The 17,868-nt window shown below is 36.8% G+C and overlaps 1 protein-coding gene across 10 annotated transcripts in view; it reads right to left on the bottom strand.

Annotated features, from left to right (window-relative positions):
• The window catches only part of RABGAP1L (RAB GTPase activating protein 1 like), an 835,789-nt gene that overhangs the window by 428,211 nt on the left and 389,710 nt on the right, over positions 1-17,868 (bottom strand). The window lies entirely within an intron of this gene.

Here is a 17,868-nt window from a genome sequence, read left to right as displayed (position 1 = left end):
TACAACACTGTTAACATATTTAGTGTCACTGAATTATACACTTATCAGTGTAATTATACACTTATCAGTATACAATATGTATACACAGAGTATAATGATAAATATTATGTTTTACCACAATAAAAAATATCAGGCACATTACATTATAGTCATACTTCATAGACTCTTGAAGGCTGATGAAGCTTTTCTGGGACTGGGAGATGCTAGAAAATTTTCTACATAGTTGTTTCATACTCTTTTCAAACCTGTGGCCAATAGCAAATGAAAACTATCATAACTGTAAAACACCTAAACAATAAATCCACTAACCAGGCCTTGCTTTCCCAACATGATCAATAGTGCCATCAGGAAAAAACTCTTGCACATAAATACAAAAGACTCTTAGTACGGTCTTGTTTAATTAAACTCTACGTTCAAGGCCTCGCAAAGACTCAAATACATATGGAATTTTTGCAATTACTTCAATAGGTATTCAAGGACAAGTCTATAATCTCCATTTTATAAATGAAGAATATAAGGCATAAAGAGAAGAAGTGATACTGTCTCAGTCACTCTGTAAGTATACACTGAAAGCTATGGTTCCTTGCCTAACAGGGAATCATAAGTTGCTGGATTATGCAGTCTTAAAAAATGCCACAAAACATCAACCATGACACTAATTCTATCAGAGACTAAAGCAGAGCAGGGTGAATAACAATTACCACCAGAAGTTCTCCTCCACCTTTCCTCCCTATAGCATCCAACAAGCTCCCCAAATTAAAAGAAAAAACGAAATTAAAACAAACAAACAAAAAAACTCTTTGTAGGTGAAACTACAGCTCTCCAGCCAGATCTTTCTCCGTCTCCCACCCCTCACTTCCTCTCCAGTTACTGACAAACAGCAAATTGGAATTTCTTCTCTTGCTCTCTGCTTAACTTCTATTGGTGATACAAATAGCTAACAACAATGAAATTACCAAAAGCTTGACACCACAGAAAAAAGACTCAATAAAAAGTAAAGTATTAGCCTGGGCAACGTGGTAAAACCTAATTTCTACAAAAATTAGCTGGATGTGGTGGCATGTATGTGCCTGTGGTCCCAGCTACTTGAGGAACTGAGGTGGGAATATCACTTGAGGCCGGGAGGTCAAGGCTGCAGTGAGCAAGGTATTGCCACTGCACTCCAGACTGGGTAACAGAACCAGAACCTGTCTCAAAAAAAAAAAAAAAAAAATGTAAAGGATTCACCAACTGTAAGTATCACTGAGATATCTTTGTATTTTTTGGAATGAATTGTAAAGAAATTTAACCTAATCAGGAATGAGAAATTATTAATACAATGTTATACAACAAATCAACAATTACCTGTCTGAAAACATTTATTGCATTTTGCATTTATTTAAAATGCTGGTGTTTAAGCTATACAAACCAGCACAACTTTGTTTGGTATTTAAAATTTAACTTCAGATGTGCTAGGAAAATTCCAAACTGCGTCAAGTCCAGACAGTGAAAACCTTATAAATATTATGACAATCAGCTTAATATTAACATACGTAAAGGAATTCAGGGGAGAACATAAGAGAAAGTAGAAGCCAAGATAAGCTACAGACAGGGGTCATAAATGAAGAAGAAAGTAACTAGTCAAACAAAAAACAAGTGGGGCAATTAGCTGGAAACCAAGAAAGCAGAGAATACTGCAATGAAGTTATTGATAATTAAAATCTAAGGAAGCAAAACCCCTCTATTAGGAATAGATGATATAGTATGTCAATGTACAGCCACGTATATTAATTAAGTGGAGTGAAAGTAGGGAGATATGGGGAAAGCCACGTTTCATTACACAGGTGTCTTAAGAGTAGAAGACATCTGTTAGATTAGAATAAAATTGATTCCAGCCCCAGCTCTTTTATGTTCTCATGCATAAAACACCTAATGACTTTAGAAAACTCACATATTCCACCAAACCCATCCCATCTAATAATCCCTTCTTCCAATCTATTAAACCACGAATCCCTCACTAAATGTGACCTCTATCTTCAAAGCATACTGCCTGCATACTCAATAACAAATGCTCTCTGTCCTTTTAAAAAGAATTATTAAAGTTATGGCAAATATTTGATATTCTAGGAGAAAATGATCACAATACTCAAGAAGATACATAGCATGATATTATAAAATAACTTTTTTCGGGCAGGGGGGAGTTGTATTGTATTTGGGAACTAGAAGACAGCTAATCCTTGGTATGTGTTCAGGGTGGCCCACCTTATTCAGGTATACTACTTTTAAAACAATTTTCCTATCCATAGGATCTAGAGAATTCTAAAAATATTAAATAAGTTTTTTTCTCCTCTAATTTTACATATATTTCACATCTCTGAAGTTGACATCTCTAAGCCAGGAAAATGCTTTCCAAGGCACTTGGGCTGCCTGAAATCCAACCAGAGTCCCTGAATTACATCTATCTACTCTGCCCAGGGGATCTGAGGTGTTTCAAACAAGTAGGAAAAAGAGTACAGGAAGCAGAATAAGAGTCATTGAAAATATCAGAATCAGACACAGTCAAGTTTAACCCTGGCAGCCTACTTTGCCAGATGTGTGAGCTGAAAAAGTTACTTGTCTTCTCTGTGTTTCACTATACACAACTGTAAAATGGTGATAATAATAGTTGTATCTTATGGGTTGCTGTGAGGATTAAACAAAGCAACACATGCAAAGCACCTGGTAGAGTAGCTGATATCCTAAATGGTAAATATTAACTGCATACAAAGGAGTTCAATAATTAGTTGCAAGCTGATCAATCATAATATATGTGACAGATCTAACAGAACCAGTATGTCTCAGGGGAAAAAAATGGGAATAAAAATTTTATCTTGAGATTTACCAATCTTGTTTGTGGTTTTCCAAAAAGAAAAATAAGGAAACGATAACTGTTAGATATGATATGAGATTAAAAAGATTTATAATCATCTTTGTGTTTTGGGAACAATGATATACCATAAATAGAAAATTATACTAAAATGTGCATTTCTAAGAAGCAAGAAGAGGAGACTTGCTGGGGCACACAAACTCTGATGGATACCCCTTATTACTACAAGGCAGAGCTTTGCAGGAGCTGGAGTAACCATCCCAGGGAAGGCATTGAAAGTAATAAATATTTTGAAAAAGGCATAATTTTTTTTAGAGGTCATGTTTTCTACTAGTGGCAAGACCTGGGGTAACAACATTTTTTTCTGTGACTTTAATCTCTGGCTGGAGTTAAATGTGTAGCCTGGGTAGATGCCAATTCAACAGCTTTCCCCCCATTCATTCATTTCTGTACAATTTTGCGGACCAGAACAGAAAAGGTATATTCTGTGCCACTGGAGATGCTAGCATTAGGGAAAGAAACAAATTAAGTGAAATCATTTTCCCCCATTTTACTCTGAAAACAACTATTACACATTCACACCTTTGTACTTCATTGCTATGTAATGAATTAAAGAGGCCAAAAATTGAGTTGATTTTGGAACCCTTCGGTTATCACAGTAATAATTAGTGTTTATTACATGGAAAACATTTTCTACATGCTTTGCATACGCTAATTTATTTAGTCCTTGCAAGTTTTAATATTATCCTCATTTTATGGTTAAGAGAACTGGGGCACACAAAGGATAAGTGACTTGCCTTAGATGACAGAAAAGTAGAGCCAGGATTTGAACCAAAGCAGTCTGGCTCCAAAGTTTCTGCTCTTTTAATTAATGTACTATATTGTATATCCATATGGCAGCCAGCACAAATATATGCAATAACTGTTAATTTCATATCTAATTAACATACTTGTGCAAATTGAAATCTTTTTTCATCAAAGCTTTCACATAAAACCAAACATAAATTTTAAGTTTAAGCACTCACTACAGCTCACGACTCAGTGCATAGCAAAGGATGCACTGTCAAACTCTAAAACACTCTAATATGTTGAAAAACTTTTGTGGTAAAGAGCCAGATAGTAAATATTTCAAGCTTGGTGGCCAGTACTTATGTCTACAGGAATTACTCATCTCTGACTCTGTAGCACAAAAGTAACTACAGATGATATGTAAATGATAATATCAAACTTCATTTTTATTTCTTTTTTTATTATACTTTAAGTTCTGGAGTACATGTGCAGAACGTGCAGTTTTGTTACATAGGTATACACGTGCCATAGTGGTTTGCTGCACCCAACAACCCACCATCTACATTAGGTATTTCTCCTAATGTTATCCCTCTCCTAGCCCCCCAGCCCCTCACAGATCCCAGTGTATGATGTTCTCCTCCCTGTGTCCCTGTGTTCTCACTGTTCAACTCCCACTTACGAGTGAGAACATGCGGTGTTTGGTTTTCTGTTCTTGTGTTAGTTTGCTGAGAATGATGGTTTCCACCTTCATCCATGTACTTGCAAAGGACATGAACTCATCCTTTTTTATGGCTAAATAGTATTCCGTGGTGTATACGTGCCACATTTCTTTATCCAGTCTATCACTGATGGACATTTGGGTTGGTTCCAAGTCTTTGCTATTGCGAATAGTGCCGCAATAAACATACGTGAGCATGTGTCTTTATAGCAGAATGACTGATAATCCTTTGGGTATATACTGAGTAATGGGATTGCTGGATCAAATGGTATTTCTAGTTCTAGATCCTTGAGGAATCACCACACTGTCTTCCACAATGGTTGAACTAATTTATACCCCCACCAACAGTGCAAAAGCTTTCCTGTTTCTCTACATCCTCTCCAGCATCTGTTGTTTCCTGACCTTTTAATGATCGCCATTCTAAATGGTGTGAGATTGTTATCTCATTGTGGTTTTGATTTGCATTTCTCTAATGACCAGTGATGATGAGCATTTTTTTCATATGTTTGTTGGCTGCATAAATGTCTTTCTTTTGAGAAGTGTCTGTTCATATGCTTTGCCCACTTTTTGATGGGATTGTTTGTTTCTTGTAAATCTGTTTAAGTTCTTTGTAGATTCTGGATATTAGCCCTTTGTCAGATGGATAGATTGCAAAAATTTTCTCCAATTCTGTAGATTTCCTGTTCCTTCTGATGATACTGTCTCTTTCTGTGCAGAAGCTCTTTAGTTTAATTAGATCCCATGTGTCAATTTTGGCTTTTGTTGCCATTGCTTTCAGTGTTTTGGACATGAAGTCTTTGCCCACCCCTATTTCCTGAATGTTATTTCCTAGGTTTTCTTCTAGGATTTTTATGGTTTTAGGTCTTATGTTTAAGTCTTTAATCCATCATGAGTTAATTTTTGTATAAGGTGTAAGGAAGGGGTTCAGTTTCAGTTTTCTGCTTATGGCTAGCCAGTTTTCCCAACACCATTTATTAAATACGGAATCTTTCCCCCATTGCTTTTGTCAGGTTTGTCAAAGATCAGATGTTTGTAGATGTGTGGTGTTATTTCTGAGGCCTCTGTTCTGTTCCATTGGTCTATGTATCTGTTTTGGTACCAGTACCATGCTGTTTTCGTTACTGTAGCCTTGTAGTATAGTTTGAAGTAAGGTAGCATGATGCCTCCAGCTTTGTTCTCTTTGCTTAGGATTGTCTTGGCTATGTGGGCTCTTTTTTGGTTCCATATGAAGTTTAAAGTAATTTTTTCCAATTCTGTGAAGAAAGGCAATGGTAGCTTGATGGGGATAACATTGAATCTATAAATTACTTTAGGCAGTATGGCCATTTTCACGATACTGATTCTTCCTATCCATGAGCATGGAATGTCTTTCCATTTGTTTGTGTCCTCTCTTATTTCCTTGAGCAGTGGTTTCTAGTTCTCCTTGAAGAGGTCCTTCACATCCCTGTAAGTTTTATTCCTAGGTATTTTATTCTCTTTATAGCAATTGTGAATGGGAGTTCACTCATGATTTGGCTCTCTGTTTTTGGTGCATAGGAATGCTTGTGATTTTTGCACATTGATTTTGTATCCTGAGACTTTGCTGAAGTTGCTTATCAGCTTAAGGAGATTTTGGGCTGAGACAATGGGTTTTTCTAAATATACGATCATGTCATCTGCAAACAGAGACAAACTTTATTACAAAACACAAGGCAGGCCAGATTTGACCTCAGGGCCTTGTTTGTTCACCCTGGCTCTAAATTTTATTTACACACATAAGTAACTCCACTGTGGCAAAATAAGACTAATTGCATTACAAGAAGTATGTTTCCGTAAATAATTTATGTGATTTAAAGCAGTGGTTCTCTGAAATCATGTCCTTTTGAAGCAACATGGATGCAGCTAGAGGCCATTATCCTAAGCAAATTAACACGGGAACAGAAAACCAAATACCACATGTTCTCACTTATAATCAGGAGCTAAACACTGAGTACACATGGGCATAAAGATGGGAACAACAGACACTAAGGACTACTAGAAGGGGGAGGGTGCGAAGGGGAGGATGGCCAAAAAACTACTTATTGGGTACTATGTTCACTACCTGGGTGATGAGACCATTTGTACATTACACCTCAGCATTGCACAATTTACTCATGTAACAATCTGCACATGTATCCCTTGAAGCTAAAATAAAAGCTGAAAAAAGTAAATAAATAAAGTAGTGGTTCTCCATCAGCAGCAATTCTGCCTCCCAGAATCATCACAATTAACACGACTTACAAAGTAGATTCCCCTGCCCCTATTCTCAGCTTACTTATTTACTGTGTCACCCACCAGTCGCAATATTCTTTTCTATTCACAGTTCTTAAATTCTTAACTCATAGGATGGGGCACCCACCAGTTGCATAACTTTGATGTGACTGAAAAAAGAACTGATATATGGGACTACCATGAATACTACACTTGGGTATATTCTGAGGGGGTGAAGGTGGAGACACAGTTTAGTGCAGTCTGCAGGATGAGGAAACGTGGTAGAAAAAAAAGTCTTCTTGACACAGAAACCCAAAAGGGAACTGCAATTGTCAATACTGAAATACAGCTTTCATAAAAGGAAACTTTTTTTTTTTTTTTCTGAGACAGAGTCTCGCCCTGTTGCCCAGGCTAGAGTGCAGTGGCGTGGTCTCAGCTCACTGCAACCTCTGCCTCCCGGGCTGAAGCAATTGCCTGCCTCAGCCCCCCAAGTAGCTGGGATTACAGGCATGTGCCAACACGCCTGGCTAATTTTTTCTATTTTTAGTAGACACAGGGTTTCACCATGTTGGCCAGGCTGGTCTCGAACTCCTGACCTCATGATCTGCCCTCCTAGGCCTCCCAAAGTGCTGAGATTACAGGCGTGAGCCACCACACTCGGCCAAAAGGGAACTTTTTTGGATACATGTGCCTGCTCTATTCTCACAGTGCCAGGGCCACTGGTAGGTGGACTTCTGGCAGAATCAATAACCCATTATTGTTCCCAGGTCATGCTTTTGGCTTTACTAACCCTGTTTCTCATCATGAGGACTTCAATAGAACCAGAACCAAAAGAACTGACCATTTAGGAAAGACGTGAAATGGAATGGCTCAAATGAAATTATTTCTTCCACTCAATTCTCTAGTCTTATTTTCAATCTCACTCAACAGTACAAGAAAATGGACTTCTACCGTCTTGAAATTTAAAATATTTTAAAAAGGTAATATTTCCATTGAGAGAATGTTTTAAGCATATTCTTAATATGTTACCAGTCCAGCACAGTTTGGTGTCTAGAACATAAAAAGGTTATTTTAAGATACTCTATCCTAAATTATCAAAGATGCGGATAAGTCCCTTCACAATACAGTGATCTGAAGTCCCTATGCACTCTTCTTTTTGATAAAGTAAATGTTCTGTATGTGTATATACATATTTTTATGTGTGTGTCAATGCTTGGTTTTCTACAGTCTGGGCAGACCAAAGTTGAAATTTTTATTACCTTGAATAGATAAAGTTCTAAGACTTATGATAATATGAGCAATAGAAAATATAGTACCTATTTCAAAAACATATTAGTAAAATGATACTTTCAGAGTATAAAAAATGATAAAACACATGGTATTTACATTTCAGTGAATACTTAAGTAACAAAAGCATAGCTTGGAAAGGATGACTGACTAGATGCCCCTTTTCTGGAAAGGATGCCTAGGTGACCCATTCTTGACATTTTGGCAGAATCATTCATTTTAACTTACTCTGACAATAAAACTATACTGAACAGATTATTTCCAGATAGGTAATTCCTTCTTTCTCTGTCAACAGAGAGCTACCTTCAGGTTTCTTCCATTCTTTACTCTGAGAGAAATACATCTACATTTGTCTAGAATGCAAGATTCATAATGACTGAGAAAAAAACTAAAGAAAGTATCTGCCTGAACCATAAGTCTATAGATTTGTCATGTCTTTGTTTTCTTCTAGCCTCATATAATGCCCACGGGAATGAACCTCCCAACACCATGGTACTAGTAACTTTTCATTATCAGGAATGAGATATATAAGGTATTAATTAGCATGTTATGGGTAAGCAGCAGCATTTGTTTAAGAGACACAGTATGGTTAAAAAATATTCAAGAGTATCATCTCCAAATGTAACTTGAAAGCTTTTATTTGGAGTAGAGGTCCAGATACTTCTACCTTTAACCATTAATTGGTCTTCCTTTGTTTAGAAAGATCAGCCAAATCAACTATGAAGGTCAACAGAATGATAGAAGACACAGAAAGAATATTTGTCTCTCTAGGGTAACTCTTGGCAAACTTTGAAAATGAGACAAGATTAAACTGGGTAAAGCAGCAAACTTATTAAGCTATATATATTGATTCAATGGCAATTATAACTTACTCTGGCAGTAAAGCTATAAAACAGCACAAAGAATTTCCTTAGGCTGAGAGAAAACATCATGGCTTTTACAGAAAGCACCAAGTTGGCTGGCATGCAGCCCCAGGCTGGACCTTTTGAATGAAAAAGGTCAATACAACTGAACTGTGGGAAAATTAACACAGATTTTAATTGAGATATATCCGTGCCTCAAAGAGTAATACGGATGAACTGCCCTTGCCTTTATCTGATGACTTAAAATTTTTCTCTCTTCAATTTTCAAGGGAAACTCTTCAGGGAAAGGAGAATGTTTTCCTTATCCCATTCCCCTTCAGGGGATAAGGAAGCGGCTGCAAAAGGCTGCAGTGTAACTCTTTAAATTGGGAATAGTTAAAATACAAGGATTAAGCTGGAGTGCTTTCTTTTTCTTCTGAAGAAGAGTGCTCAGGTGGTAGCACTGGAACTGCCTGCCCTCTGATAACCCTGACCCCAAGTTGATGTGGTCCATGTGCTTTCCATGGCCGCATCATCTTTCTCAATCAAAAAGCAGCAGCCCTCCTGGCAGAGCAATTGTTCTTTTCCAATGTATATCCTGAAGGATGTAAAACTCTAACTCCTAAGAATGAGTCTGTATTCCTATAAGGATTTAGACAGGCAGTTTAGTCTCCAGAGGCTTAGAATTCTTGGGCAACATCTCTAGTTCATTCAAGCTTGGTATAAAGCTAAAGAAACCACTGGGATCCTAGCTTGGGCTGGCTGCCCCCATATCTGGCCATGAGAACAACAGGATGATATAATTCAGGTACAGTCTCTGATATGATCTAAGTGGAAATATTCAATGGGGTGCTAGCACCTGCTCTTACATCAAGGTTATGGTGGAGCCACAGTTCCCCAAAGTAGTAGAAGTAGAATGACGGGGATGGGGTAGGGTCACAGAAGTAAGGAGAAGAATTTCTGGAGGATACTCTGGTGGTATATAGCCTATCACTGGTTCAGGCCAGAAATGCTACCTAAGCAAGAGATACACATGGCCATCGGAATGACAGAAGTGATATTTGTATCCAGCAGATACACACTGGTATCACTCAGCCTCAATCAAGGCATCAGCAAGGCAGTTGATAATGTCCAAATTGAAGATATTAGACCTGCCATAGTCCTGAAGAGTTCATGGGGAATCTCAGGCTTGATCTTGAGTGGAACCTCCAAGCTACACTTAGGAAAATCATGGGAAATTCACAGCATTATCAAACAAGGGCAATGGCAAAGGTTGCTGCACAAGCCAGTCGGGCTGACCTTTCCAGCCACAGAAATTTGCATGCGAATGCGAGTTAGTCCCTTTGCACTAGTCATAAATGTGCCAGTTCATGTCATTCAAGAGTATATATAGATGAGATAAGATCCTTTGCAGACATATGGCATTAAAGGATGTAACAACCTACAGCTTACTGTTAGCCAGAAAGATTCCGTGACATGCTCAATTTTGGGATGGTTGAAGAATTCAGAGATGTGAATCTCCCTCTACAAAAATGCCACTAACTCATTAGTACAAATCTCCAGATTCCTCCTTCTCACCACCAATAATGTTCCCATAAGTTTGTACTCGGAGAAATGTGCACTTATCAAACTGCATAAAGCCATCACCAAAGTTGAACTTACTTCATCCATCTACAAATATTTCCAAATTTCTTGAGCCCTCACTAAAGAACTTCCTCAAGACCCAGGAAAGAAAAGTAATGTGTAATGTCTATTATTTCAACTGTGTAACCTGATCCCAGAGTTACTATTCAGGCTGCATCCTTCTTTTGGCTCTGACTCCTCAAATTTCAAGCTTTTGCCACCAGTACAACCATTTGATAAAAGAGAAGAGTACAGGATGGGGAAGAGGGAAAGAAGACTACCAAAACAGCCTCCTAACTGGCCTCCCACCTTCAGTCATCCTTTTATTTCATCCATCCTGGATAACACCAAATAAGCATTTCTAAAAACTTTGATTTTGTGTTATTATTTTCTACTTTTTCTTCATCAGTATATTCTAATCTTTCTAAAATGAACATATGTAATGAAATAATTTTTCAAAGTCAAAAGAGGCCAGGAGTGGTGGCTCACGCCTGTAATCCCAGCACTTTGTGGAGCCAAAGTGGGCAGATCATGAGGTCAGGAGTTCGAGAACAACCTGGCCAAGATGGTGAAACCCCATTTCTACTAAAAATACAAAAATTAGCCGGGCACAGTGGCGGGCACCTTTAATCCCAGCTACTCAGGAGGCTGAGGCAGGAGAATCGCTTGAACCTAGGAGGTGAAGGTTGCAGTGAGCCAAGATCGCGCCACTGCACTCTAGCCTTGGTGACAGAGCAAGATTCCATCTTAAAAAAAAAAAAAAAAAAAAAAGGCAAACGAACTCAGCTTTTATATTTCATTCCCACTATATGATCCAAACATAGTCCTACAATATCCAGTCCCTAATACCTTTCTTTTCTAACCATTCATTCATCTACTGTGATGAACTTTGCACTCCAAACAAACTGACATAGTCACTTCTCCTGAAAAAGAATAGGAGACATATTCTTTCCCATTCCTATAATTTCACTCTCGGTTCTCTACCATAATGTAGTCCCTAAATCCTTCCTTTATCAAAATCATCTTTACACAGAGATTCCATCACCTTTGAGACTATCAATATCCACTGCAAACCAAAAGTGATCTTTTTTCTCTTCAAAACTCTTCCCCAAATTGAGAGTCAACACTGATAATTTCCTTCCATGAATTATTAGTCTTTCTATGTATATCTATATCTTCACTATTCACAGTAAACATTAAAGAAAGGGAACATACATTTTTTTTGGGGGGGGGACATACATTTTTCTTGTTACATAATAAATGCTCGACAAATGTTTGTTGAATGAATCCTGAGACATACTTACAACACTACATATAATTAGACCAGGTGATCAATAAATTTTTGATGCTTACGTGATTAAGGGAAATAAATGATTGCAAGGGCTTTTGCCATAAAGCTAATGATGGGTATTCTGTCTATATTAAAAACACATTAGAGAATGTTTTAAAGCTTAAAGAATGTTGTTATTACTCAAGAGTAGGTTAAGCAGTGATGAGTAACAGCTGAAATTGAGTATGAAAGATAATTTGTACCTTGGCATACATGTAATCCTTTTTAAATGGCCCTAAATTTATAGTCTATTCCATTTATTTAATTTGTGTTATTACTTTTCAATATACTTCTCTAAAAATAAGAATTCTCATTTATACAGAAAATATAAAATTGTGAAAGTATGCTTGCTGTTTTCTTTATCTGCATTAACCATAACTAAGGGAACTCTATCAGGACACACTGCAATGTCAGATGAGCCATCCTTTTGCTTATTCTAACTGTTGGAAACCTAATTAAAGAGCAATTCCTTACATGTTGGCCTTGGAAACTCCAAGTGTAAGCTTAATTACAACAATGCAAAAAAGATTAGGAAATTATCATTGTTTATTATTACCTCAAGTGTTATTAAGTATCAAAAAGTAAACATGCTTTCTGCTTATGTCACCAACTAAATTTAAAAATGACTTTCATTTTCTTCCTTTAAAACAAGTATGATCTGTGATATGTGATAAGACTCACCCCCCACAAACATTTTATTTTCACAGAAAATTAACTCCTTAATTTAGACAGAAAATGTTAATTTTAAACTTCTAGGAATGTGCTTTGCCTAAAATTGAGATATTATTTTAAAATATGTCTTTTCAAAGAAGGTGATACAACACGTAATTATAGTGTATAAATAAAAAACAAACACTTCATCCTATAAAACATATTATGGCATATTTTACTTTGAAATAAAAGTACTGATGTTTTAAAACATACCAATACAAAATTTCAAGGAACTCATTTACAAATGCCAAGGGGACACAGACACACTAAGATTATTTTAACTCACAGTGATTTCAGTTCTACAGCCACCAGGTTATCAAGAGGAAAATTTAACCTAATTATGAACACATTGCCAGAAACACTTCTAGACACTTCCTTTAAAAGGGAGGTAAACTTCAGATTAAGTAGGTTCAACACTCTAAAAAATAGAAAATCAAAGAAAAGGGAAATAGCCTTTCTCAAAATAGGCAAATGATAGAAGGCCCAAGTTTTTAAATTGCACCAAGAATTTGGTCCAATTTGCAAAAGTACTTATATTTGAAAAACACTGATGACAAATGAAACTGTAAAAACCTACTGAATTTGCCTTAAATCAATTCATTTTCAGACTATAGGAGGAGTAACTAAAACAGCACAGAATTGAGGTTGCCATTAAAGTTGCAATCTTTATTAATCTTGAAGAGGAGGAATATTGATTGTAATTCCTTCTAATTCTATGCTTCTTTATTTTTTTGAGACAAGGTCTCACTCTGTCACCCTGGCTGCAGTGCAAGTGGCATGATCTCAGCTCACTGCAGATTCGACCTCCCCGGCCCAAATTCTATCACCTCAGCCCTGCCAAGGAGCTGGGACTACAGGTGTGTGCCACCACGTCCAGCTAATTTTTGCAGAGATGGGATTTCGCCATATTGCCCAGGCTGGTTTCAAACTCCTGGGCTCAAGAAATCTGCCTGCCTCTGCCTTCCTAAGTGTTGGAATTACAGGCATCAGCCACTGCGCCTGACCCTAATTCTATGATTCTTGTTGAGGATTTCTGCATTATGATTCTTACTGAAAATGTTTACATGTACATTTGTGAGAAATAATGGTCTATAGTTTTATTTTTCTGTACAATCTGTCTGTTTTAGAGTAATAACATTAGCTTCATAAAATCAGTCAGGAAGTGTTCCCTCCTCTTCTCTTTTCTGGAAGAGATTTTGTGAACTTGAAGTTAATTTCTCCTAAAATGTGTGGTAAAATTCACTAGTGAAATATCTTGGCTGGGATAACTGGCTAGCCATATGCACAAGATTGATACTGGATGCCTTCCTTATACCACATACAAAAATCAACTCAAGATGGATTAAAGACTTAAATGCAAAACGTAAAACTGCAAAAACCCTGGAAGATAACCTAGGCAATACCATTTGCGGTGTAGGCACAGGTAAATATTTCATGACAAAGATGCCAAAAACAATTGCAAGAAAAGCAAAAATCAACAAATGGGATCTAATTAAACTAAAGAGCTTCTGCCCGGCAAAACAAACTATCAGCAGATTAAATAGACAACCTATAGAATGGGAGAAAATTTGTGCAAACTATGCATCTGACAAACGTCTAATATCCAGCATCTATAAAGAACTTAAACAAATTTATAAGAAAAAAACAACCTCATTAAAAAGTGGGCAAAGAACATGAACAGTTACTTCCCAGAAGAAGACATATATGTGGCCAAAAATAATATGGAAAAAAGCTAAACATCACTGATCATTACATTAGAGATATGCAAATTGAAACCACAATGAGATACCATCTCACACCAGTCAGAATGGCTGTTATTAAAAAGTCAAAAAATAACAGATGCTGGTGAGGTTATGGAGACAAACGAACGCTTATACACTGTTGATGGGAGTGTAAATTAGTTCCACCATTGTAGAAGATAGTGTGGTGAATCCTCAAAGACCTAAAGACAGAAATACCATTTGACTCAGCAAACCCATTACTGAGTATATACCCGGAGGAATATAAATCATTCTGTTATAAAGACGCATGCACGCATATGTTCACTGCAGCACTATTCACAAAAGCAAACACATGGAATGAACCTAAATGCCCATCAGTGATAGACTGGATAAAGAGTATTGGTATTTCATGGTGTATAGGATCTCATTCTTTTTTATCTCATTCTTTCCATGGTGTACATATACACCATGGAATACTATACAGTCATAAAAAAGAATGAGATTATGTCCTTTGCAGGGACATGGATGGAGCAGGAGGCCATTATCCTTACTAAACTAACACAAGAACAGAAAACCAAATACCACATGTTCTCACTTATAAGTGGGAGCTAAATGATGAGAGCACAAGGACACATAGAGGGAAACAACATACTGGGGCCTTTTGGAGGGTGGAGGCGGAGGGTGGAAGGAGGGAGATAATCAAGAAAGACAACTAATGAATACTAGGCTTAATACCTGGGTGATGAAATAATCTATACAAAAACCCCCACCACACAAGTTTACCTACGTAACAAACTTGCACTTGTACCCTTGAACTTAAATTAAAAAATCATTTATCACATAAAATATAAATCCAGATGAAGATCATGTGCCATGCCAAAATGGAAAGGATAAAATGAATGTTGTTAAACATGTATTAATATCTTTTTTAAAAAAGAAGAAATATCTTGACACGGTGATTTCTTTTTCAGGAGCTTTTAATTTCTTCAATGGTTAAATAGCTATTCAGATTGTCTATTTCACCTTGGTTGAATTTTGGTAGTCTGTGGTTTTCAAAGAATTGAGATTCATTTCTTCTAAATTATGGGTATCAAGTTGTTTATAGTGTTTTCTTGTTAACTTTTTAATGGCTGCAGGATCTGTACTGATATCCACTATTCCATTTCTGATATTGGTGATTCAGGCCTTCCCTTCTTAGATTTTTCAGTCTTGTCAAAGGTTTACCAATTTTATTAATTTTTTTTTCCAAAAATAGCTTTTGTTTCATGGTTTTTCTCTGTTGTTTTTGTATTTTCAATTTCTTCGATTTCTGTTTTTGTCTTCATTATTTATTTATTTATGCTTACTTCGGGTTTATTTTCTCTTCTTTTTCTAGTCTCTTACATAGAAACTTAGTAGTTCCTTGAGAAAGAAACTTACACTATTGATCTGAGAACCTTCCTCATTTCAAAAGTGAGCACTTACTGCTGTACACTTCCCTGTCAGCACACATGTGGGAGGTTTAACTACCTCCCACATATTTTGATATATATTATTTTCATTCAGTTGTATGTATTTTTAAATTTCCTTTGAGACTTCCTCTTTGACCCATGGATCATTTTTCCCCTGTTGTCTGTTACTGATTTCTACTTTGAATCTACTGTGGTCAGACAACATACTCTATATGATTTCAATTCTTTTAAATATGTTGAGGCTTGTTTAATGGCCCAGGATGGGATCTACCTTGGTGATGTTCCACTCATATTCTACTCTTGTTGGGTAGAGTGGTTTTTGTTTTGTTTCTTTTGTTTTTTTGAGATGGAGTCTTGCTCTGTCGCCCAGGCTGGAGTGCAGTGGTGCGATCTCAGCTCACTGCAACCTCAGCCTCCCAGGTTCAAGCAATTCTCCTCCCTCAGCCTCCCGAGTAGCTGCGACTACATGCGTGTGCCACCATGCCAGGCTAATTTTTTGTGTGTATATATATATGTGTGTGTGTGTATGTATATATATATATATATATATATGTGTATATATATATATGTATATATACATGTATATATATGTGTATATATATGTGTGTATATATATGTGTATATATATATGTGTGTGTGTGTATATGTGTGTGTGTATATATATATATATATATATATATATATATATATATATTTAGCAGAGACGGGGTTTCACCGTGTTAGCCAGGATGATTTCAATCTCCAGACCTTGTGATCCACCTGCCTTGGCCTCCCAAAGTGCTGGGATTACAGGTGTGAGCCACCGCGCCCAGCTTGGTAGCGGGTTTTATAAATGCCAGTTAGATTCTGTAGGTTGGTTGTGTTACTCAGATCTTTTATATCCTTGCTGACTTTCTATCTAAAAGTTCTATCAGATGCTAACTAGGAATCTTGGGTCCATTTAGATCCTGGCCTCTAAAGCAGCCACATCAGACATACTTTGTTCTTTTGTCCATTGAATTTTTAATGACAAATAATGAGTCAGTATGCAGAACATACAAGAGTAGTCGCTGGCTGACTTTCAGAAGCCTAGGACTATCGTTGATTTGCTAATTTGCAGAAGATAGTTACTGGAGTAAGGCTGTTGTTGACTCGATGATTTTCAGAAGCATGGCCACTGGAGTGAGGCTGTCACTGATTGGCTGATTTTCACATCATGTGTACTGATCAAAAGTGATTTCTAATTACTGGTGATTACTTATTCATGACTTGGGACTTTGTTCAAAGAATAGTCCTTTCCTTTCTTGAATGTAAAAATTAACTACTTTTAATTACCAATCCTCCTTTTGGTTTTCCTCAGAAAAATCTGCTAGAGACAACATAATGGATTATCTAGATATATATTTGTGGAGGTATAATTCTCAACTAGTGTTACCATTTTAAGTGACTGAGGTACCAATTACTGTAGTAGAAAAATAATTCTAAATGTGAAATTTTAATAATTTATTTTAAAATGTTATTATTATTGTTAGAGATGGGGTTTCACTATGATGCCCAAGCTGAAGTGTAGTAGCTATTTACAGTATGATCACAGTGCACTGCAGCCTTCAACTCATGGGCTCAAGCAATGCTCCCACCTCAGCCCCCCAAGTAGCTGGATCTACAGGGAATGCCACTGCACCTGGCTTACTCTCAGCTGTCATAAGATTATTTCCAAAACCTTGGGTGAGGCTGAAGGAAGGGATTATAAACTGTCTTGTCTTCTGCAGCTTGTCTTCTAGCTAGTTTTAATCTCAAGGGTTTCAGACTGGTATAGTGCTCAACCCCTATTTAATGGTAATGTTAATTCTTCTATACTATTTGTAGGAAAAAAATTAAGCTTCTGAAATTATTCTTGGTTTAGGGAATTCAGCAACAAGTTGGCTTGGCTTTTCAATAGTTTTACTTCTTCAGCTTGTTCCATTTCTTGAGATCTCAAGAGCTATTACTAAAAGTCTCAGATTTTTACTTCATCTCTACATACTTCTAAAATTTAGCCTGGAATGGTGGCCAACTTTGTAGAGACTTGCAGTGGCTTTTCTCTTTACAAGAATGCTATGTTACAATATCTAAATAGGATTGCATTCCAATGTTTAAAATCCAGTCTCCCCCTTTAATGCTTTCTTATGTTATCTTTCAAGTACCTACAGCCACCACTTTCCCATCCTCTGAAAGAAAATTTTGTTGAGTTTACTTTCTATAATTTACATTAAGAAAAAATTGAAATAGTCAAAACAATACTCTACCCTGGAGAAATAACCCTGCTTCTTCTATCTCCTTTTGAGATCTACTAGTATACTGAAA

This window comes from Homo sapiens, chromosome 1 (genome assembly GCF_000001405.40).
Source record: "Homo sapiens chromosome 1, GRCh38.p14 Primary Assembly".
NCBI lineage: Eukaryota > Metazoa > Chordata > Mammalia > Primates > Hominidae > Homo > Homo sapiens.
This window is presented reverse-complemented; position numbering and strand designations above follow the sequence as displayed.